This window comes from Homo sapiens, chromosome 22, assembly GCF_000001405.40.
Source record: "Homo sapiens chromosome 22, GRCh38.p14 Primary Assembly".
NCBI classification, from domain to species: domain Eukaryota; kingdom Metazoa; phylum Chordata; class Mammalia; order Primates; family Hominidae; genus Homo; species Homo sapiens.
The window spans coordinates 20,415,255-20,437,866 of NC_000022.11; the positions used below are offsets into that span (position 1 = coordinate 20,415,255).

A 22,612-nucleotide genomic window follows, 5' to 3' on the forward strand; every position below is an offset into this window, starting at 1 on the left:
CAGCCCCCCATCCTCAGACAGGCCCCGGTGTGTGATACTCCCCTCCCTGTGTCCATGTGTTCTCATTGCTCAACTGCCACTTATAAGTGAGAACATGCAGTGTTTGGTTTTCTGTTCCTGTGTTAGTTTGCTGAAAATGATGGCTTCCAGCTTCATCCGTGTCCCTGCAAAAGACATGAGTTCATTATTTTTTATGGCTGCATAGTATTCCATGGTGTATATATGCCACATTTTCTTTATCCAGTCTATCACTGATGGGCATTTGGGTTGGTTCCAAGTCTTTGCTATTGTAAATAGTGCTGCAATAAACATATGTGTACAGGTGTCTTTACAGTAGAATGATTTATAATCCTTTGGGTATGTACCCAGTAATGGGATCACTGGGTCAAATGGTATTTCTGGTTCTAGATCCTTGAGGAATCGCCACAATGTCTTCCACAATGGCTGAACTAATTTACACTCCCACCAACAGTGTAAAAGCGTTCCTATTTCTCCACAGCCTTGCCAGCATCTGTTGTTTTCTGACTTTTTAATAATCGCCATTCTAACTGGTGTGAGATGGTATCTCATTGTGGTTTTGATTTGCATGTCTCTAATGACCAGTGATGATGAGCGTTTCTTCATATGTTTGTTGGCTACATAAATATCTTCTTTTGAGAAGTGTCTGTTCATATCCTTTGCCCACTTTTTGATGGGGTTGTTTTTTTCTTGTAAATTTGTTTAAGTTCCTTGTAGATTCTGGATATTAGACCTTTGTCAGATGGGTAGCTTGCAAAAGTTTTCTCCCATTCTGTAGGTTGCCTGTTCACTCTGATGATAGTTTCATTTGCTGTGCAGAAGCTCTTTAGTTTGATTAGATTCCATGCGTCAATTTTGGCTTTTGTTGCCATTGCTTTTGGTGTTTTAGTCATGAAGTCTTTGCCCATGCTTATGTTCTGAATGGTATTGCCTAGGTTTTCTTCTAGGGTTTTTACGGTTTTTGGGTTTTACATTTAAGTCTTTAATCTATTTTGAGTTAATTTTTGTATAAGGTATAAGGAAGGGGTCCAGTTTCTGTTTTCTGCTTGTGGCTAGCCGGTTTTCCCAGCACCATTATTAAACAGGGAATCCTTTTTCCATTTCTTGTTTTTGTCAGGTTTGTCAAAGATCAGATGGTTGTAGATATGTGGTGTTATTTCTGAGGTCCCTGTTCTGTTCCATTGGTCTATATATCTGTTTAAAAATATGGAACACTTTGGCTGGGTGCGGTGGCTCACACCTGTAATCCCAGCACTTTGGGAGGCCGAGGCGGGTGGATCATGAGGTCAGGAGATCAAGACCATGGTGAAACCCCGTCTCTACTAAAAATACAAAAAATTAGCCGGGCGTGGTGGCGGGCGCCTGTAGTCCCAGCTACTCGGGAGGCTGAGGCAGGAGAATGGCATGACCCTCGGAGGCAGAGCTTGCAGTGAGCCGAGATTGTGCTACTGCACTCCAGCCTGGGTGACAGAGCGAGACTCCGTCTCAAAATAAATAAATAAATAAATAATAAAAAATAAAAATAAAAATATGGAACGCTTCACACATTTGCGTGTCACCCTTGGGCAGAGGCCATGAGAAACTTCTATCGTTCTGATTTTAGTATATGTGCTGCCGAAGCGAGCACTATTTTAATCATTTTTAAGTGCACGGTTTAGTGACATTAAGTACATTCACTGCCATCTATTTCTAGAATCTTTTCATCACCCGAAACTGAAACTCTGCATTCCTATTAAACACTAATTCCCATACCTCCCAGCCCGTGGTAACCACGGTTCCACCTTCTGTTTCTACAGAATTTTTTTTCTTTTTTTTTTTTTTTTTTGAGATGGAGTCTTGCTCTGTCGCCCAGGCTGGAGTGCAGTGGCGTGATCTCGGCTCACTGCAACCTCTGCCTCCCGGGTTCAAACGATTCTCCTGCCTCAGCCTCCCAAGTAGCTGGGACTACAGGCACACATCACCATGCCCTGCTAATTTTTTTGTTTTGTTTTGTTTTTGTTCATTTGTTTTCTTTGAGGCAAAGTTTTGCTCGTCACCCAGGCTGGAGTGCAGTGCCGTGGCAGTGGCGCAATCTTGGTTCACCGCTACTCTGTCTCCCGGGTCCAAGTGATTCTCTTCCCTCAGCCTCCCAAGTAGCTAGGATTACAGGCACACACGACCACATACGGCTAATTTTTGTATTTTTGGTAAATTTTGTATTTTTGGTATTTTTGCCAGGCTGGTGTCAAACTCCTGACCTCAGGTGGTTCACTCACCTCCGCCTCCCAAAGTGCTGGGATTACAGGCGTGAGGCACCTCGCCCCGCCTGTCTCTACGAATTTGACTCCTCTAGATACTCCACATACATGGAACTGCACAGTATTTGTCGCTGACTTCTGGCTGTCCTCACCTGGCTATGCCTACTTTGGGGGATAATCTGGGCCTGGGACACCACATCCCCGTAGCAGGCCCCACCGGGCCGCACAAACAGAACTGCGCCGAAGTTCCCCCAGGCTGTTACCCCCACTTGTTTAGGCTCTTCAAAGATGCTACCGGCCGGGCGTGGTGGCTCATGCCTGTAATCCCAGCACTTCGGTGGGCCGAGGTGGTCAGATCACTTGAGGTCAGGAGATCGAGACCAGCCTGGCCAACATGGTGAAACCCCGTCTCTACTAAAAATACAAAAATTAGTCGGGCTTGGTGGTACGCGCTTGTAATCCCAGCTACTCTGTAGGCTAAGGCAGGAGAATCGCTTGAACCTGGGAGGCAGAGGTTGCAGTGAGCCAAGATTGCGCCACTGCACTCCAGCCTGGGCGATAAAGTGGATACTCTGTTTCAAAAGAAAAAAAAAAGGTGGCACCGGCCCGGTGCGGTGGCTCACACCTGTAATCTCAGCACTTTCGGAGGCTGAGATGGAAGGATGTCTTGGGCCCGGGGGATGGAGGCTGCAGTGAGCGGTTATTGAGTGACTGCGTCCAGCCTGGGCCTCAGAGTGAGGCCGTGCCTCAAAAAGAAGAAAAAAAAAAAAAAAAAAAGCAGCAGCTACCCATCCAGCCGCCAGATGGCAGCACGATTCCATGGCCCCCACTAGCCGCTGGCTGCCTGGTGCCGGATGCAGTCCGAAAGGCGGTTCTGAGCTCCAAGGGCCGGCGCCGCGCGTGCCTGCGGTCCCAGCTGCTCGGGAGGCCCAGGCAGGAGAATCGCGTGACCGGGAGTTCTGCGCTGCAGTGCGCTGTGCCGATCCAGGTCCTCACTGAAGCCGGCATCAGTATGGTGGCCTCTGCCACCAGGCCGCCTAGGGAGGGGCGAGGCAGCCCCAGTTGGAAACGGAGCGCGTCAGTAGTGGCATCGCGCCTGGGAATAGCCTCTGCGCTCCAGCCGGGTCGACCTGCCGAGACTCCGCCTCTAAAACCAGCAAATACCGGGAGGCTGAGGGACGAGGACCGCTGGAGCCCGGGAGGCGGAGGTTGCAGTGAGTAGCTGGGATTACAGGCAGGCGCCACCACGCCCGGGTAATTTTTGTGTTATTAGTAGAGACGGGGTTCCACCATGTTGACCAGGCAGGTCTTGAACTCCTGACCTCAAGTGATCCACCCTCCTTGGCCTCCCAAAGTGCTGGGATTACAGGCGTGAGCCATTGCGCCTGGCCAAATAAGTAATTTAAGCAATTTTTTTTGTTTCAGAAAAAAAATTAACTCATAAAGGAGCCCCCCCGACACACACACACACACACACACACACACACACACACACACACACACGGGAAGCAGCAGTGTAATTGGAATGCCCACTGCTGAGGCTCTCGAATGAGTGTCATGTGTGCACATTTTGCCCCTCACAATGCACGTCAGACTATTAATAGGAAGCAGCCGCTGGAATACCTCTGGTGGGGTGTGTGCAGCAGGCAGCTTTGGAATTACGGTATCCCCAATGTGACAGCAGGACAATGGCTTCTTCACTGGCACTGTCCAACCACAGTGCTGTGGTTATGTCTCGAGGTCCATTATTGGGCGAAGGTCACTGCAGACTCAGGGAGGCCCAGGAGCTCACCCCAACCAGCTTCTTTACCAGGTGAGTGACCTCAGCCCTGCAGCTGGACTCATGGAGACAATGACCTCACCCGAAGATAGATGACCCCTGTCCACCGTCCACACAACAACTGAACTGGCCCCAGGTTGACTCCTCTACACCCTGCTTCCTACTGTACCCCTGTCAAAGGCCTTCCTCCCACCCTTCCCACTCCTCTTCCTCCCTGGCAGCCCAACCACCACAAATTCACTAACTTGTTTTCAACTCTTACAGGCTGCCCTCCTAACCCTAGCCCTGACCTCTGCCCTCCTAACCCCAGCCCTGACCCCACCGCCCTCTCAGGAGGCTTTACCAATCCTCTGCATGTTAGCCCCACCCAAGGAACAGGCCTATTTTCAAGCATACTAACTGTTGGGTGTGTCGCTTACCTATGCATATGACAGCCAATCCAACCTACCTAAATGACAGCACAGCTCCATCCATGGATGTGGCTGATCACATCTCCAAACCATCTTCCCACTGGGGACAAATTCTTGGATTTTTTAGAGACAGGTTCTCACTCTGTCACCCAGGCTGGAGTACAGTGGTGAGCCTCAGACTCCTGGGCTCAAGGGATCCTCCCACCTCAACCTCTGGAGTAGCTGGGACTACAGGTGCACACCACCACCGTGCCTGGCTAAATTTTTAATTTTTTTTTTTTTTTTTTTTTTTTTAGAGATGGGGGTTGCTATGTTTTCCAGGCTGGTTTTGAACTCCTATCCTCAAGTGATCCTCCCACCTCAGCCTCCCAAAGCACTGGGATTATAGATGTGAGCCACCAATCTTAGCCCAAATTTTTAACTAAACTCAATTAAACAAATGAACAAACAGAAAAGACTCTCAAACCACACACTGTCGTCTCTCACCCAACAGAGACAAGACGTCTATAAACCACCAATCTGTTTAAAGAGACCACCAAATGTTCAGACCATGAAACTGAAAGAATCAAAATAAAGTTGTCACTATGCCACCAACGGACAAAAGCCAGGAGCACACAACCAGGGGTCATACTCACTGAAGGTCCCCCACCCTGATGGCCAGTCAGGGGCGGCTTGCGGGTCTCAGAGAGGGCTCACCACCTGCTTGCAGTCATTGGGGATGGGAAGGTAAGTCCAACCCATGCCAGGTCAAGGCACAAAGACTGTGGGGGGAATGCACCAGACACATAAAGAGATGACTTTATTCAGGCTACTGCTATGGGAAGAAAACTCACTAATGAGGAAGGAGGGGCCTGGTAAATAAGAGACTCATGTGGAAGGCTGGAGGCGGGGTCTTAGAATGGACAAGGGCAAAGTGCTCCTTCTGGTCTCACTATTTCTCAGAACGCAAAGGAAGAGGCAATTTCTCAGTGAGCACCATTTCCCTGGAACCCAGGGCTGAGATGAATTTCAGTACTGCCAGCGGCCTCCGCGTTCTCCTGTGTGTGTAGGAGTTTGTGTGTTCCAGTGTGCGTGTTCCCACTGTGTCTTGGTGTTTCTGTGTGCCTGGTGGCATGTCTGTGTGTGTATCTGCAGGGTGAAAGACCACAGATACTATCCGAATTCCCGTGCTCAAGTGCGCCTCCTGCCTTGGCTTTCCTGAGTGTGGGGATGACAGGCGTGAGCCACCACGCTGGGCCTCATGATCTGTTTCTAGTGCAGTGAGTGCATCTTAGGGTGGGTGCCCGCCTCCATGCTTAGTAGGGCATGGATGCTGTGTATGCCATCTGTCGGTAGGATGGTTACACTTCTGTGTGTTGGCTGATGTGTGTGTCTCAGTATTTAGTCGGCTCTGGTGGCACATGTGTGTGTTGCAGGTTGTATAAGTTGCTGTTTCTCTGTGTCTGGTGGAAGGTGTCTATGGTTGCAGAGTGAGGGTCTCTTGGTGTTTCTGTGTGTCAGAGGGTGTGTGTGTGTGTGTGTGTGTGTGTTTTGCAGGATGAGGTGTGTTCTGTGAGTGTGATGTGGGGGGTGCAGGGTGCATATCTGTGTCTACATTTCTTTTTTTTCTTCTTCTTCTTTTTTTTGAGACAGAGTCTCGCTCTGTCGCCCAGGCTGGAGCGCAGTGATGCGATCTCCACTCACTGCAAACACTGCCTCCCAGGTTTAAGCAATTCTCCCAGCTCAGCCTCCCAAGTAGCTGAGATTACAGGCGCATGCCACCACGCCCGGCTAATTTTTTGTATTTTTAGTAGAGATGCGGTCTCACCATGTTGGCCAGGCTGGTCTTAAACTCCTGATCTCAAGTGATCTGCCTGCCTCGGCCTCCCAAAGTGCTGGGATTAACAGGCGTGAGTCACTGCACCCAGCCTGTCTGCATTTCTGTCTGGTGGTGAGCTATGTGCTGCAGGTAGTGTGTTTAATGTGTTTCTCTCATGTTTCCGTGTATCTGGTGGAAGATGTGTGTCTGCAGGATGAGTGTCTCTTTTGTCGGTGTATCATGGATTGTGTGTTTGTGTGTGTTGCAGGGAATGTGTTTGTCTCAGTATCTGAGTGTGTCGGGTCGTGTGCAGGTGTGTGTTTTTTTGTGTGTTTGTTTGTTTGAAACAGAGTCTCACTCTGTCGCCAGGCTGGAGTGCAGTGGTGTGATCTCAGCTCACCTGCAACCTCCGCCTCCCGGGTTCAATCGATTCTTCTGCCTCAGCCTCCTGAGTGGCTGGGATTACAGGCGTCTGCCACCACACCCAGCTAATTTTTTGTATTTTTAGTGGAGACAGGGTTTCACCATGTTGGCCAGGCTAGTCTTGAACTCCTGATCTCAAGTGAACCGCCTGCCTCGTCCTCCCAAAGTGCTAGAATTACAGGCGTGAGCCACCGTACCCGGCCGCACGTGTATTTTGTATGATATATATCTGCTTCTGACTTTGGTGAAGTGTGTGTGTCGCAGGGTTGTGTCTATCTTGTGGTTTCTATGTGGCCTATGGTGTGTGTGCTGCAATGAGTCTCTGTCTTGGTGTTTCTGTGTCTGGTGATACATGTTGTATGTTGCAGAGTGAGTCTTTTTTTCCATTTTTATGTGCGTGGTGTGGGTTGAGTGTCCTCCATAGTAGTGGGCTGGCTGTGTGTGTGTCACAGCGCGTCTGTCTCTGTGAGCGGTGGGTTGTGTGTGTGTGTTGGAGAGTGAGTGTTTCTGTCTGATGGAGTGTCGTGTGTGTGTGTGTGTTGGCAGGTGAGTGGCTGTGTTCCTCTGGGCCCAGTGCTGTGTGGGCGTCTGTTGCAGTGTGTGTGCCGTCTCTGTGTTTCTGAGATTCTGCTGGCTTTGTGTGTGCATGTCTGCGTTTCGGGCTGTGTGTCTGTGTTGGTGTTTCTGAGTCTAGAGGAGCGTGCATGCGGCGTAGGGTTAGTGTCTGCAGGCCTCTGTGTGCTGTGGCCTGCGTCTGCTTGTAACCACCAGGCTGGGCCTGGTCCCCACATTCCTCCCACTCCATTGTGCTCTGTGCTACAAAAAATATTTGCGTTTTCCACCACTCATAATTTTTCCTCCTCAATCGCTACCAGATGTGGGTCCTGTGGTCCCCATCCCCATGGCAACGGAGGTTCCAGCAGCCGCGGTTCCCTTTTGTGGCGCCTGCCCTGGGAGCTGGCACTGCTGTGAGCCCCGAGGGGGTGGGGAGAAGCGGGTGGTGGGAGGCAGGAGGCTGGAGGGGTCCCAGCAGCTCCCTTCCCAGCAGCCACTGGAACCCTCCTGGGGGGAAGGGAAGGCTGGTGGTAGGTTGGGGGGGGTCCCCTGTTTTGTGAGGCACCCACAGGTAGAGTCTTCGACACCTAGGGGGCTTCCCAGAGAAGGGCAAGGAGAGGTCCCCAGAAAGGCCTGGTCACTGGGACATCCCTGTTCTCTCCAAATCGTGCTGGTCCAGGCTGGGGGAGGAGAAATAGCAAGAGCTGAGGGCTTGGGGGTTCAGGGAACAGCAGTGTGGCATCCTCATCGTTCTGGGGGGTGGGCACCGCCTAGACAAGAATGTGGTCTGAGCCCCTGCACTGCCCACCCCTCACCCACACGCAGGCACTGCCCTGCCCTCGCGGAGCCCGGCTGGGCATCTGCCCTCTTGGCCTTAACCCCAGCAGCCCGCATGGCGCAGTGCCCAAACAGAGCAGAGGCTTTCCAGCCACAGGGCCATGGCTGGGAGGGTGCCCAGCTGGCTCCAGGGAAGCAGTATGGCCCAGAGGCAGGGATCCCACATTCCACGTGCTGCCTGTTTGTGTCCTGCCAGCTGCTCTGGACGGCCGACCCAGGGCAGGACGCAGTCTCCACTCAGATGGCTGGGCCTTCTGAGATGGGTGACCCCTCTAAGATGGGTGACCAAAGTTGACCTCCGTGGGGCATCTGGTCAGAGGATGAGAGTGTGCCCAGGACGAGAGCCCCAAGTTGCCAGCGTGAGACCAATGAGTGCTGTGTGGCGGCTGCAGGGTGATCAGAAGATCCTGGCAGCAGGGGAAGACTTTGAGCTGGGCATCAAAAGATGAGATGCAGGAGAACAAGAAGAGGCCTGCCGGGCAGAGGCAGGAGGTGGGAGGAGAACAGACAGGCAGGAGCTGGGGGAACTTAGTGTGGGGACAGCAGGGGCCATGGAAGGTGAGGGTCTGCGGCTTAGGAGGGTCACTTAGGAGGCCTGCCCGGGAGGGTAGGCGGGTCAGGAGCAGCGAGGCCGTAGGGCACAGATGGTCACAGATAGCCAGGCAGCCGGGTCTGGCTTGGGGGCAGGGGATCTGCCCCGGGCGCTCCCTCCGTCTCCCTCAACCTTCCGCAGTAGCAGGCGGGGCTGGCAGGCAGGAGAGTTTCCGGCTGAGGACAAGGAACCCGTTGAGGCAGACAGCAGGGCTCTGTGCAGCAGGAGACCGGCTTGTTTGTGCTGGAGGAGGCCCGGCTGGAGTAAGCGCCCGCGGCCCCCTGGCCGCAGCCTCTGCACCCCCCGCAAGCTGCCACCAACAGCTCTGAGGCCCAAGTTTAACAGCAGCGGCCAGGGGAAAAGGCCGGGATCCGAGGCAGGCCCATCGCCTGTCCCTTTCAGTCAGGGACTCTGCCTGATCTGCCCCCACCCAACCTTCCTCCCCGTGACCAGTCCAGAATGGGGCAGGCCAGATCGGGGCCGCATAAACTTGATAAACAAACGAAGCCTGTGGGTTGACACAGCCCACTTCCACCATGGTCCCGGGAGACCCACGCCTGGGCTCCAGGGCTCCCCGCTGAGATAAGGGGTGGGGGAGAGTGCAGGACAGGTCGTCACATAAAGTTACTTCTGGGGGGCATCTTTGGCCGAAGCCTGCAAACAGGAAGTGATCAGAGCATGAGGGGAAAGGCATTTTATTAAGAAAGCTTTGGCCAAGCCCCCGCCGGGAGGAGCCCATCCTGGGGCACCGGCCGAGGGGGGAGCAGCCCTGCTGGGGGCCTATAAATACATCTCCTCAGGCCACTAGAGTCGCCCCTGGAGGTCCCGCGGCGTGTGGGGCAGTGGGAGGCCATCAAAACCAGCTGACAGCTGAGGGGCCTGGGCCCGGGGCGCCAGGGAAGGGAAGGGGTGGGACGGACTAAGCCCCTGAGGAGCGGAGACCAGCCCTCCTCCCCAGGCTGGGGTCAACCAGATGCCCGGGAGCCTGGCCAGTGGAAGTAGCCCCGGGCTCTATTGGGACGGCCAAGGGAGGGAGCCTCCAGCCAGAGGCACCAGGCCCTAGCGGGGGAGAGGCAGCCCGGGCAGAAGTGCCTCTGGCTGCAACCAATGAGAAGGTAGCCCTAACCAAGTCCACTCCTGGCCAGTAAGAGGCGGTCTTTAAGCGGAACCCTCCCATCTTTGGCCAATGAGACGCTGTCTGGTCGGAGCGCTCCATAACTCGGCCAATGGGGAGGGAGTCGCCCGCTAAGCGCCTGTCAGGCCTCGACCAACGGGATGGGCCCTTCCCGCCAGAGCACACTGCTCCAATCCAGGAGCGGCTGCAGGACCTGAGCCAATGAGACGCAACCTCCGCTAGCCGCGCGGTGCCCGGCCAATAGGAGGCCGCCCGTGCCCGGTAGCGTGGGAGGTGTGGGGTGGCGGGCGGCGCTGCGAAGCTGAGGGAGCTGCGCGCGGACGAGCCACAGCCTGCTACAGGGTGGGTGCGCCCGCCCTGCCCAGCTCGCCCGCCGCCTCCCGGCTCTTCTTGCGCGGCGGCTTCTGGATGGGGGTCTTCTTCCGGGGGGTCTCAGGCGCGGGCAAGTCGGTCGCCGCCTTCTCAGGCCCCGGGGTTTCGGTCGCTGGGGGCGCGCGGGCGGGCGAGGCTGGCGGCACGGAGCGCTTGGCTTTCTGTGGGGGCGCCGGCTTTTCCCTGGGGCCCTGCGCGCCCAGGGCCACCTCGGCGCGGCCCAGGCTGCGAGTCTTGCCGCGCAGCTCAGCGGCCAACATGGAGGCAGCCTCGGGCGCGCTTCGCGGGGGACCGCCGGCGTCCGTGGGCTCCAAGAGGCCGGGGCCGCGGCCCCGCGCTCGGGCCCTGGGCGGCGAGGGCGCAGCGAGGGCTGTCGCCTCCTCGGGCAGCCCGGGGGGCCGCGGCGTTGGGTCGCGGGTCCGGGGGCTGCCGTGTTCGACCGTATGCGCCGATTTGTCGCTGGGCGTCCGTTTCCTCTTGCTGGGGCTGGGCGCGGCCTCGGAGCCTGGCGGCGGTGGTGAGGGCGCACGGCCAGCTGCAGCGGCGCTGTGCTTGCCGTGGATCCAGGACACCTTAGGCTTGGTGGCGGGGTCAGGTGGCGGCGGTTTCCTGCGCTCGGGCGATGGCGACAGCGACAGGCCCCCAATCTCGCCCCGGGCCCGGGCCGGCCGGGCCTCGCGTCGGGCCACGCGCGCGTACAGAGCCCCTCCGGGCCCCTCCACGCTGGACGCCGACCGCTCGCTGTCGGAGGACGCGGGGAGGGGTATCGCCTCCTCGGCGGAGGCTGGCGTGGTCAAGGGCACAGGGGACGGCGCCGGCGCCTCGGCAGGGACAGTGGGGACTTCGGGGTCCCGGCTCTCCGCTGGTGCCTCTGGCAAGGGAAGAGCAGGGCGGTCACAGCCTTCAGGAATACCTTTAGGGGCTCCAACCTCCAGGCGCAAACCTTCACCTTTCCTCCTCTACCCACGCCCTTGGCACTGTGTCACCCTGGCATCTAGACGTGCCTGGCACAGAGCACCAACCACACATGTGTACTTCAGAGCCTCAGGCTATGCGGCTGACTCTGAACTCAGGCTGTGCAAGGAGTGATGGGCGCATTCCCGCGACTGAAGCCCAACCTTGGCCTGGCCTGGCAGCCCTGCCCCAACACCCCTCCAGCCTTGGGCGCCTGCATCATCGAATTTGAGGCTGGAACATCCCCACAGGGGTTCCATTATCCTTCTTTAAGAGAGAAGGCTTCTAGCTGGGCGTGGTGGCTCACGCCTGTAATCCCAGCACTTTGGGAGGCTGCGGTCACCTGAGGTCAGGAGTTTGAGACCAGCCTGGCCAATATGGTGAAACCCTGTCTCTACTAAAAATACAAAAATTAGCTGGGCGTGGTCGTGGGCGCCTGTAATCCCAGCTACTCGGGAGGCTGAGGCAGGAGAATTGCTTGAACCCAGGAGGCAGAGGTTGCAGTGACTGGAGATCATGCCACTGCACTCCAGCCTGGGTGACAGAGGCAGACTCCGTCTCAAAAAAAAAAAAAGAGCGATAAGGCTTCTGAGGCTCTGAGTTGGTCACCTGCCCGTGGCATCTGGGGGCACAGTCAAGGGAGGAGACAGGGCAGAATCCCAGACCATCAGGCTCCTTTCTGCTATCTGTGGATCAAAGGCTGTGTGTGGATCCAACTCCCATACTCTGTGGATCCCTTCCTCCTGTCTCCTCTGCCACCCCCTACCTAAGCCCAGAAACTTCTCTCTGCCTACTTTCCCCCAGGAGCAACCCTGGGCTGTGGCCTACCCATCTCCCCACACCTGTCTCCGGTACTGAGCAGCAGAGTCCAGCTCTATGGCCTCAGCTCTGTGGGCAACCCTCAGGTACCAGCATGGCCAAGGCCTTCCTCTCCATGCTGCCTGCCCTTCTCCTGTGTCCCACCCAGAACACAGCTTTTCCATGGGAACATTTCACTGGGCTGGAGTGATGCCCAGGTAGGGCCTTACTTACCCTCATGGGGTACACAGTACACAGGGCCTTCATCAGTGGTGTCAAACGAGGAGAAGGAGGCCCGAGAGGACCAGGATGGTGAGGGCTGCTCCAGCCCTGAGGGTGGCTCCAGGAAGCTGCAGTTGAGTGTGTTATCCAGGTCGTGGTGGGCCACTGGGGAAGGATGAGGCAGAGCTGCCAGGGGTCCACTCTGCCCCAGCCGGTGCCCTCATTAGCCCCTGCTGTGACAAATGTTGATGGGGTGACCAAGACCAGCCCTATTCTTGGACTGCAGGGGGCACAGGCAACTCAACAGGTACAGTGACACTGGGCCAGGACTGGAGAATGGGTAGAGGTGAACCCAGAAAAGAAACATGGGCACAACATGTGTTAAGGTGCAAGGCAAGTGTGTGCATCCAGGGAGCTGGAAAAGGTTGGGCTGACGTGTTGAGAAAAGGCCAGAAAGGTGGGAGACGGGGCTGAAGAAGACACCTGGCTGGGACAGGCCACCAAGGCCTCCAAGCTCTGTTTTAGGCCCTGCCTTGTGCGAATAAGGAAGCCTTGGAGCACTTCTGAGCCCAAATGCGCAGTGGCAGGGCTGCCCTTTGGCTCAGCCCATCTCAGCAAGCTGCACCCTAGGCCTGGCCTCCAGAGATGCAGACCCCACAACAGGGGGCCCCAGAAGCTGGCTAGCCTGGCCTCCATTCCACAGAGGGATGTGGGGTCCACTCCCCACACCTATGTCCCCAGATGCCATGCTGCTAGGTGGGCCAAGGGGTTTTCTCTCTCTTGCTTGCTTGCTTTTTCTTTTCTTTCGACAGTTTTGGGGTTTCTCCTCCCTCCCTCCCTCCCTCCCTCCCTTCCTTCTCTTTCTTCTTTTCTCTTCTCTTCTCTTCTCCTCTCCTCTCCTCTCTTCTCTTCTCTTTTTTCTTGACAGTTTTGCTCTTGTTGCCCAGGCTGGAGTGCAATGGTGCGATCTCGGCTCACTGCAACCTCTGCCTCCCTGCAACCTCTGCCTCCCAGGTTCAAGTGATTCTCTTGCCTCAGCCTCCAGAGTAGCTGGGATTATAGGCATGCGCCACCACACCCGGCTACTTTCGTATTTTTAGTAGAGACCGGGTTTCTCCATGTTGGTCAGGCTGGTCTTGAACTCCAGGCCTCAGGTGATCCACCTGCCTCGGCCTCCCAAAGTGCTGAGATTACAGGCATGAGCCACCATGCCCGGCTTGGCTAAGGGGTTTTCTCAGCTGTTTCCTTCATCTCCCAAGAGTCTGAGCCCCCTTCCCCTCCATCTTTAGAAATAAGTGGGAAAGAGAGGAAGAGAGGGTCCACCCAGGTGCAAGTCAGCATGGAGAGAAGCGGCACACCCCACCCCCCTATCCTGTTGGTGGGTGGGGACCAGCCTGCCCACTTTCCAGGAGGATCTCTGGGTACTGCTGGGGATGTAGGCAGGAGGGTGGGTCCTCTCCGTGGGGCAGGGCACTCCCGTGGCCACGCATTCCCCCAGCAGCTCTGGCCGGGATATACAGCATTCTCCTACAGACTGGGGGAGCCTGCGGGACCCAGATGTCCACACACCCCTGATGCGATCACTCTCAGGGCCAACGTTTCTGACATATGCCCACATCAGCCGGCGCACCTAGGACTCCTGCCTTCCTACCTTGCCTCGCCCTCAGCAGCTGCCACACCTCTTACCTTCCCTCTGGTCGCACCTCCTCGCGCCCACGCACATCAACACTCAAGGTCCCCCATTTCCTCACTGAGATCTGGACCCCCTCACACCCATTTCCCAGCAGCTTCCTGCGTCGAGAGGTGTTTCTCCCAGATACCCCGCGCTGTCATCCTTACCTACGACTTTGGGTAGTTTCTGCCTCCGGAGCGGGATCCGGGGCAGCTTCATGCTGATGCGACTGAAGCGCCCGCATAGTCGGTGCGGCGCCTTCTTCCTCCCAAGCGAAAGCTCCCTGCGGGGGCGGGGTCTGAGCGGAGGGGCGGGGCCGGGGCGGGGCCCAGGGGCGATTAGATCTCGGCCGGAGCCAAGCACAGAAGGGGCGGGGCCACGTCCGGGGCAGGGGCGCGGAAGGGTTGGATCTGGGTCCGGTGGCACCCAGAGGGTGCGGCCTGAACCCAGGCGAAAGCGGGGCAGTATCTGGGCTCACCGGCGCGTAGGGTCCTTGCCGCGGCAAGCGCAGCAGCAGCCGAGCAGCGAGAGCAGCAGGCAGACGAGCAGGACGAGCAGCGCGCCCGCGCCCATCACGCCCTTGCGCTGGTTGGTTTCTGTAGGGGGTTATGGGGTCAGCGCGGTTTCTGGCACCCCCTGCATTCCTTAACGGGACGCCCCTCATCCACTTACCTAGGTGGCAGGCACCAGTGACCGGGTCGCACGTGTCCTCGTGGCAGCTGCAGGCCTGAGCACAGTCCGCGCCGTGGAGTCCGGGCGGGCACGTCACGTTACAGCTGCCGGGACATAGGGTCAAGGCATGCCACAGCCGCCCCCCTAGGATGCCCCCTACCCTCACCCCTCACCCGCGGCCAGGGCCCAGGGTCCAGGGTCCCAGAACCGGGCTCTCTCTCGCTGCATTCGTCGTCTAGGGATTGAAGCCCCGCCCCGCCCGTGGCACATATTGGGTAGTGGATGTTTTGGAAACGAATGTTGCACAACACTAGTGGGGGGGCCTGGGGGATAGGACCCGTGGTGGCCGCGCCGCAGCGCCCACTGCTGGGGCTGACTCGGCTAGGTGGGAAGAGGGGCTGCTGAACCAGACCCTTGGCTGTAAGTGGAGGTCCCTGGTCCTTCTGTACCAACTCGGGGTCACCTTAAGAGCCCACTGACACAGGCTGGACTGGTCACCAGATCCTGCGCTGAACGTGAGCTCCCCGACATCCAGGCAGGAAACTGCCCCCAAAGAGCCTACTGTCACTCCCTAGCTGGGGTAAGGGACCAAGGCTGAGGTGATAACCCAGCTCAGGGTGGAGAGGCCACCTCGTCGGCTGGACCCCCCTCTGTGGCAGGTACAAGCCCCCAACCCCCTCCCGGTCCCGGGGCACTCACTGGGGCCCGTGGACGCCAGGGCTGCACAGGCAGCGCCCCGACTGGAAGTCGCAGTGTCCGCTGCCGCAGTCGGCGCACACGAAGGCGCAGTCCTCGCCGTAAGTGCCATTGCTACACTTGGTCTCGCACCTTGGAAAGAGGGGAGGAGGCGTCAGCAGAAATGGAGGCAAACGGACCACAGCGCCCTCGACATTGGGGCCTTTGTTAGGGAGGCAGGGCGGGGGACTGCGTGTCTGGGCCGACGCAGGCAGGGCTGCTCACCGGTCGCCGATCCAGCCCGCGTTGCAGCGCGTACACTTGCCGGTGACATGGTTACAGGCATGCCCGTCGCGGCATGGCGGACAGCGGTGGCTGCAGCCCTCGCCATAGAAACCGGTGGCGCAAGGCTGGTCGCACTTGGTTCCGTTCCAGCCGGGCTCGCACGTCAAGCAGCGGCCCTCGGCCACCGTGCACGGCTGCTGGCCCTTGCACTGGCCACACCTGGGGGAGGGGTCGGAGGCTAGGGAAGGCTGGGACCCGCCTCACCCCTGTCCCCATCGGCGGCCCGCCCTTCCACCTCCTCCCTCCCTGGCCGAGAGACCGCGCTTACCGGCGGCGACAGCCCAAGCCGTAGAAGCCGGCGGGGCACGGCTCGCGACAGTACTTGCCGCGGTAGCCCGGCTCGCAGGCACACGTGCCGTCCACAGGGTGGCAGCGGCCGCGGAAGCACTGGCAGTAGCGATCGCAGCGCGCGCCGAACGTACGCTCGCGGCACTGACAGCGGCCGCTCTGCTGCTCGCAGGGAGACGAGTTGCAGGCGCACTGGTTGTTGCAGCTGCGGCCCCACCAGCCTGCGTGGCACAGGCAGGCGCCGGTCTGTGGGTCGCAGCGCGACGTGGCGCTGCAGTAGCACGCGCTGGCGCACTGCGCGCCCCACCAGCCGGGCTCACAGCGGCACGCGCCGCTCCGCGGGTGGCACGTGCCGTGCTGGCACTGGCACGCATGCTCGCAGCGCGCGCCCCAGCGCCGCGCGTGACAAGTACACTGGCCTGTCACGTCCTCGCACTGCCCGTGTGGGTGGCAGCTACACAGCTCCTTGCAGTCGGGGCCCCAGAACTGGCGCGGGCACTCTGCAGGGGAGGAGCGGAGGGGGTGGAAGGCCCCGGTGCTTGAGTAGGTGCCCCCAGCCAGCCGGAACCTGCCCGCGTCCCGCACTCCAGCCGCCACCTCTGGGGACCCGCCCCGAAGGCGGATCCGACCCCGCCCCACCTTGGACCCCGCCCCATCTCTCCAGGATTCCGCCCCACCGACCAATACCGGCCCGACCCCACGCTCACTGGTGTCGCAGTTGGCACCGAAGTAGCCGTGGCGGCAGCGGCACTCGCCAGGCCTCACGCACACCTCGTTCTCTGAGCACGTGGAGTTGCCTTCGCACACCGCTGTGGACGAGACAGGCCAGAGCTGCTGCGCGTCCTAGCCCCGCCCCCTCCCCCGCCCCAGGTCCCCGGGATGACCCACTCACCAATCCCACACTCGTCCCCTTGCTGCCTCCAGCCAGCGCAGCACGTGGGCACCTGGGAGCTGCGAGCAGAGGGAGGACATCTAAGCCCGATGCCCCTCCCCCAGCCCCCATCTGCTCCGGGCTCCTCCGCAGCCTCCGCACAGCCTCCCTGCCTCTGCAGTTGCGCTCCTGTCCTAGGGGGGTGGTTAATGAGGTCCTGCCAGGCAGTCGTCTGGCGGTGGAGGATTGCCACAAACAGACCTCACCGCCAAGAACTTTCCAGCCCAGAACCACCCACCCCATCTCACCTAACTCCTTTGTGTCCTCCTCCCACAGCCATTAGGCCTGAGAAAAGTGGCCTTGGAGTCCCAGGAAGGACAGCAGTGAGGCAGCAGCCAGGGAGAAGACCATGGGCCTCAGGACCTGCCCAAATGTGAGGGTCTAGGGCATCCCTCCAAGTGGAGGGCCCAGCCTAATGGGTGTCATGGATCCAGATGTCATGTGATGTGACATGATGAGGACGGCACTAGGACTAGCTGGGCCACAGGGACACACCTAGATGCCCAGTTGGGGTTGAGCTCCAGTGGGGAGGGGCAGCCTCTGGACAGGGGGACGGGGGGTGGCATGTAGACACAGTGAGGTGACCACTTGGCAGAGGGGCTTCTGGAGGGAGGTGGGGTGAGGCCCACCCAGCCACTAGGGAAGGAGCAGGCACATGGGGAGTCCTCCACGTGCAGGAGGAAAGTCAAACTGTGGCAAAAGGGCTCAGGGACCAGGGTGGAGGAAGGAGCTATTAGAGCATCTGTTTATGCCTTTGTTGTTGGTTTTGAAACAGTCTCGCTCTGTTGCCCAGGCTGGAGTGCAGTGGCACGATCTCGGCTCACTGCAACTTCCACCTCCCAGGTTCAAGCAATTCTCCTGCCTCAAACCTCTCAAGTAGCTGGAATTACAGGCACGTGCCACCACACATGGCTAATTTTTGTATTTTTACTAGAGACAGGGTTTCGCCATGTTGGCCAGGCTGGTCTTGAACTCTGACCTCAGGTGATCCGCCCGCCTCGGCCTCCCAAAGTGCTGGGATTACAGGCATGAGCCAGCGTGCCCGGCCTGTTTATGCTGATTGTCTTCCACTTGTTCCATTTGATTTGGCTTTACAGAGTACACAATGCTACCGCAGCACTTCAGGAGAGCACAACCTCTAAAACCCTGGGTGGATGGGGTGTGTGAGCACAAAGGTTTGGAGGCCCTGCCTGAGTGAAGCCATGATGGCTAGAGAGGGTTCGTAGGGGATGAGCTGGGGTTAGCCCACATTCAGGGGCAGAGGAGGCTGAGAAGGAAGAGCCACCAAGGCTGCGGGATCCTAGGTTCCCAGCCGACCCAGAACTTCGCCTCGATCCTAAAGGCATGTAACAGCCATTCGCACTTTAGAGAAAAGGAGCACGCTTCTTCACAAGCAGGCTTGGATTCAGTATCTGAATCTAGAACCGGAAGGTGGTGGGGGGCGGAGTTTGGGAGGAAGCCTGAAGACCCTAGCGGGATGGGATAGACTGGCCCTACACCATGCATTTCAGGATAGTACATGCCTGGCATGCTCCTGCCCAGGCTTCCGAGGATGCCCCAGCCATTCCCCAGCTAGACAGAATACCACCCCTTGTACAGAGCACCTAGGCCTCGAGGCCCCTCCTCCTGAACAAGGCTTGGTTCTCCTTCAGGCCAAAGATGGGACCTGGCGAACAGGACCATAAAATCTCAAACTTTGGGGAATTGGTCCAGTGTATTTTCCACAATAAAACTGGAAACCAGAGACAGGAATACAAAGGCCTGGCTTTTCCTGGCCCCTGCCCCCACTGTCTCCACCCACCCAGCCCTGACCCAGGGGGCACCAAGGTGCCCATCTGCAGGGAGACCCAGGTCTGCTGGCCATCACCCACCCACTTGTGTCTGCTTCTGAACCATGTTCACTGGATGGAGAGCCTCTGCAGGTGTCCCTCCTGTGGGGAGCTTTGCCAGGTGGCCTGCTGGAATTGCCCCGGAAGCACTAACCCCCTTCTGCCCTGGACATAAGGCTCTGTGGCTAGGACCCTCGTTTTAGGGCCACACTCAGCTGGGTTTGATGTCTGGGTTTGCCACTTGCTGTGTGACCTCAGGCATGCAGCTTAAGCTCTTTGAGCTTCAGGCTCCTTAGCTATATAGTAGGGCTCTACTGTAGAAAGATTAAGAGAGCCAAGATGTTTTTTTGCCGGGCGTGCTGGCATGTACCTATAATCCCAGCTACTCAGGAAGCTGAGGCAAGAGGATTGCTTGAGCCCAAGGAGTTTGAGGCTGCAGTGAGCTGTGATGGCACCACTGCTCTCCAGCCTGGGCAACAGAGTGAAACCCTGTCTCAAAAAGAGAGATAGAGATAGGAGAGAGAGAGAGACAGAGAAAGACGACAGAGAGAAAGAGAGCGCGCGCCAAGACCTATGAAGTGGTTTGGCACATACTAAGCACAAAGGATCCTGAGCACAGGCTGCAGTGCCTCTGAGTGCACTCGGTCATCTCTGGTTTAGCGGGCACCCAGGCCTAACCCCAGCAGAGCTAATGCCCACCAGCAGGACAGAGTCCATTTGGGTTCACTGAGAACAAGATGCTTTCCTTCTTGGAAGGGCTGGCAGAAAAGGCCGGGTGGTGGTGGCAAGCCCACTCTCTGAAGATCTTACAAAGACGGGTGGGGAAAGATGGCCTGCTGCAGGGCTGCTCCCACGCTTGCCCTGTAAGTCGGCAAGACCCTCAGAAGCCAGGCCATAGGCTGGGCCCAGGCCCCTCAGCAAGCAAGACATGCCGTAGGCTTCTCCCTCGTAGAGCATTAGTTCTGTGATTCAAACCCACTGTGAGTTCTTACATCTTCAAGTTGGCTCATGGGGTCCATACCTGTCCATGTTCTCCCCCAAATCCAGGCAGAAAAGCTTCTCTGCCTGCCACACCCTTCAGACCCCACACCAGCCCGACCCTCCTGCTGCCCCGCCTGGACACCTCTCCTCTGGTTTCTGTCCCCATCCTCAGATCTCTCTTGTGTCCACACTAGCTCCCTCGGGAAGCTCACTGAACACTGACAACACCTTGGACCCTCCAGCAGGGCTCTCCCCATCAATGCTAGACTTGCAAATCCAACTGCCCAATAGATGATGTCACCAGAAGGAGACCTCATGGGCCTCATGCCCAACCAGCCCAAACCTGAACTCTTGACCTCCTTGCACCCTGAGTCTTCCCTGCCTCAGATAACCCTGCCTGTCCTTTCAGGCTGGGAAGCTGAGACCTGGAGAAGCATCTCTGACTCTTCTTTCTTGTCTACACCAGATCCATTGAGAAAAAAGACGCTGAGCTCTAGCTTCTAAACGATATCTAAAATGGGATCACTTCCTCCTTCCCTATCCCAGCCTTGTGAGAGCCACCCTCCATCTCCCTGGCTTTTTGTAACTGGCCCCAGCTTCCACCCCCTGCCCCCCAGGGTGCGAAGTGTTTGCCACCTGGCAGCCAATCCTGGTCAGATCCCACCCTTTCTCTGTACAAAGCCCCCAGGGGGTCCCATGGCCCTCAGAAGAAAAGCCCAAGTCTTCTGAGCAGTGGCAGCCCACGGTGGCCTGCCCACCCTCACTCTCTGGCAGCTCCTCCGCCAGCCCCTCCTGGACTCTGCCCAGCCTCCTGGATCCTTCCTGTACTTCCACAGGCCCTCTGCCTTGGGAACCTTGCCCCAGACACCCACAGGGCCTCCGTGCTCTTCTGCAGGCCTGTGCTCACTCACCACCTTCTCAGCCGTTCTCCTCAGAACACCCTAAAGGAAACAGCACTCCCCAACCCAACACCTCCCAGCTCTTGCTAGATGTCTAGACACACTTGCTTTTCTGGACTGTGTCTCCTCTGCCACAGGGTCAGGGTCTCCACTGCAGCTTCCCTACACCAATACAGGCCTGGCACAGTGTAGGTGCATAGGATTTTACTGGCTTTGCACTCTCCTCTCCCCATCCTCCTGCCTCCCAGGAAAGGGAAGGGCTGATGGAAGCCTTGCAAGATGTGGGAGGACAACAAAGACATGACCCAGACCCCAGGTGGGCAGTGCCCAGAGTGGCTGTCCTTCCCATCGACCCTTGCCACTCATGACCACAGCGATCTCCACTTAGCCCCATGAGGGGGTTGTGATCACTATCCCATTTTACAGAGGTGGAGACAGGCCCAGAGAGGTCAAATGACTTGCCCAGGTCCACACAGCTGGGTAGGGTGGCACCAGGATGGGAACCCAAACCCAGGCTCGGTTCCTGGAGCAGGCGCCTCCTGGGAGGTCTGCAGACCAGGGGAGCGGGAGCAAAGGGCTCTCAGGCTCCGGACAGCTAGAGCCTGGCACCGGACCCCCATTCCTGGTCCCGGGCCTGTCTGGGAAAGAGGGCTGGAGTGAGTAGACAGAGACCACGGCGATCGCGCCCTCCCCCTCTCCAGGCACCGCCCCGCCCGCCGCCGCCGCTGCATTCCTGGGGCCGGGGAGGCCCGGGAGTCCGCGGCGGCGGCATCGATGCGAAGCAGATGGCGGGCCAGGCCGGCCCCCGCCCCGGAGGCGGGGCTCGCAGCGGGGAGGGGTCTGCGCGCCTCCGGACCAGAGTTCGGAAACCCCGCGCTGCCCCCTCGCAGCCCCTTGTCTCTGGCGCCGAGCCCCTGGACTCGGCTTGCCCCGGGTCCGTGGCTCAGGCGCCCCGACGCGACCCAGCTCGGAGCCCGGCGGCCGCCTCTGCGGCTGCCAGCCCGTGCGGCGTCTCCAATCCGCGCCAAGGCGCCCCCACACGCCCGCTCCTCACCCCTGCGTGGAGATGCCCTTGACCTTGTGGCCTTTGGCCAGCCCACCGGCTCCCCCGACCCCAGCTCCTAACTCCTGGCGTCCGGGGCTCACCTCTCTGCCCTCCGTGCAAACTCCCGGACTCGCCCCCCCACCGGCCGGGCCTGTCGCCTGCCTGTCCCACACTGGCTTCCCCAGCCGGCGCCCCACATTTGCGCGGCCCCTTCTTGCACCCAGAATCCCCACCTGGTTGTCGCCAGGGTTCCCACATCCTCCGGTCCCCTGTGCCTGTCATAGTCCTTCCGCCTCCCGCTTCTGGTCCACTTCGAGCGCCGGCTCCTCGACGCTCGCCTGGGTCACCACCCTCCCACCCGCGCCCGCTCTAAGACGCGAATCTGTCTTTCCAAGTCTGGCTTGCTCCAGGACCTCCCCGGCTAGCACCGCTCCTCCTCCCCTGACCTTCCTCCTCACTCCCACTCCCGGCTCCAGTCGGACTAGTGCGGGGCTTTAGCACATGCAGTTCCTTTGGCTTGAATGCCCTTCCCCAGCTTTTCCCCGTGGACTTCACAACTCGGTCAAGGGTCCCTTTTTCCAGGTCTTTCCTGATATCCCGGACAACGCGTGTCATCCCCTGGGTGCCCACGGCACTCCATCCTCCCCTCAGGTGACTTCTCGTCCAGGGTTCCCTGGGATGCACTGTCGTGGCCCATGGCCGAGGCTGGGCCTGGAACGGAGCCGCGCTGGCTAGGGAGCCGAAGGGGCCCACACTTGGCGTAGGAAGGTTCCGGTAGCCCCCTCCCAATGCCCGGCGCCGCCACACCACTGCCCAGAGCGTCCCTCTCGCCCCCTCCCCCAGCCAGGCCGGCTCCTACCCGGGAGCACGGCACACGTTGCGGCCGCGAGGGTTCAGTTCCTGAGGCGCCACGGTGTCCGGCAGCATCCAGAGCAGCAGCAGCAGCAGCAGCGACGGCAGCAGCGGTGACGGCGGCCCCCCGGCTCCCCGGCGCCGCGCCGGCCCGGCCCCCCGGGGCCCTGCGCCCTCCATGAGGCGCGGGGCAGGCGCGGGGCGGGCACGGGCGCGGGTGCGGCCGCAGCGAGAGCGGCCGGAAGCGGAGTGCGAGGCCGGGCGGGGGGCGGCAGGAGGGGCGCCGAGCCGG

General features: G+C 58.8%; 1 protein-coding gene and 1 pseudogene across 4 annotated transcripts, besides 4 other annotated features; both read right to left on the bottom strand.

Annotated features, from left to right (window-relative positions):
- Positions 1,544 to 1,645, bottom strand: RNU6-225P (RNA, U6 small nuclear 225, pseudogene; annotated as a pseudogene).
- Positions 5,517 to 9,463: an enhancer, noted in NCBI's record as "VISTA enhancer hs1620". NCBI's record gives its function as "enhancer in: hindbrain (rhombencephalon)[6/10] | dorsal root ganglion[7/10] | limb[8/10] | branchial arch[8/10]" and the evidence as "EXISTENCE:transgenic organism evidence [ECO:0001131][PMID:17130149]".
- Positions 7,648 to 8,159: an enhancer, noted in NCBI's record as "H3K27ac-H3K4me1 hESC enhancer chr22:20777192-20777703 (GRCh37/hg19 assembly coordinates)". NCBI's record gives its function as "activates a minimal SCP1, AML or CMV promoter by ChIP-STARR-seq in naive H9 embryonic stem cells {active_cell/tissue: H9 hESC(naive)}" and the evidence as "EXISTENCE:reporter gene assay evidence [ECO:0000049][PMID:30033119]".
- Positions 9,330 to 22,571, bottom strand: SCARF2 (scavenger receptor class F member 2). 4 transcript variants are annotated; one of them, NM_182895.5, is made up of 11 exons: positions 22,328 to 22,571; positions 16,676 to 16,734; positions 16,491 to 16,592; positions 15,764 to 16,283; positions 15,436 to 15,654; positions 15,175 to 15,303; positions 14,476 to 14,579; positions 14,282 to 14,399; positions 13,971 to 14,086; positions 12,144 to 12,296; positions 9,330 to 11,028 (listed from the first exon to the last, which is right to left on the bottom strand). In NM_182895.5, the coding sequence occupies exons 1-11, from the start codon at positions 22,498 to 22,500 to the stop codon at positions 10,121 to 10,123; spliced, it is 2,601 nt and encodes an 866-aa protein (NP_878315.2). In that variant the 5' UTR covers positions 22,501 to 22,571; the 3' UTR covers positions 9,330 to 10,120. The 4 variants fall into 4 exon arrangements, with proteins under 4 accessions (NP_878315.2, NP_699165.3, XP_016884554.1 ...); NM_153334.7 differs by having other exon boundaries at positions 13,971 to 14,101; XM_017029065.3 differs by having other exon boundaries at positions 12,144 to 12,364; positions 13,971 to 14,101.
- Positions 13,723 to 13,889: a silencer, noted in NCBI's record as "fragment chr22:20783264-20783430 (GRCh37/hg19 assembly coordinates)". NCBI's record gives its function as "represses an EF-1alpha promoter that drives an FKBP-Casp9 reporter gene in an ReSE screen in phorbol 12-myristate 13-acetate-treated (for megakaryocytic differentiation) K562 erythroleukemia cells {active_cell/tissue: K562(+PMA)}" and the evidence as "EXISTENCE:reporter gene assay evidence [ECO:0000049][PMID:32094911]".
- Positions 14,946 to 15,785: an enhancer, noted in NCBI's record as "H3K27ac-H3K4me1 hESC enhancer chr22:20784487-20785326 (GRCh37/hg19 assembly coordinates)". NCBI's record gives its function as "activates a minimal SCP1, AML or CMV promoter by ChIP-STARR-seq in primed H9 embryonic stem cells {active_cell/tissue: H9 hESC(primed)}" and the evidence as "EXISTENCE:reporter gene assay evidence [ECO:0000049][PMID:30033119]".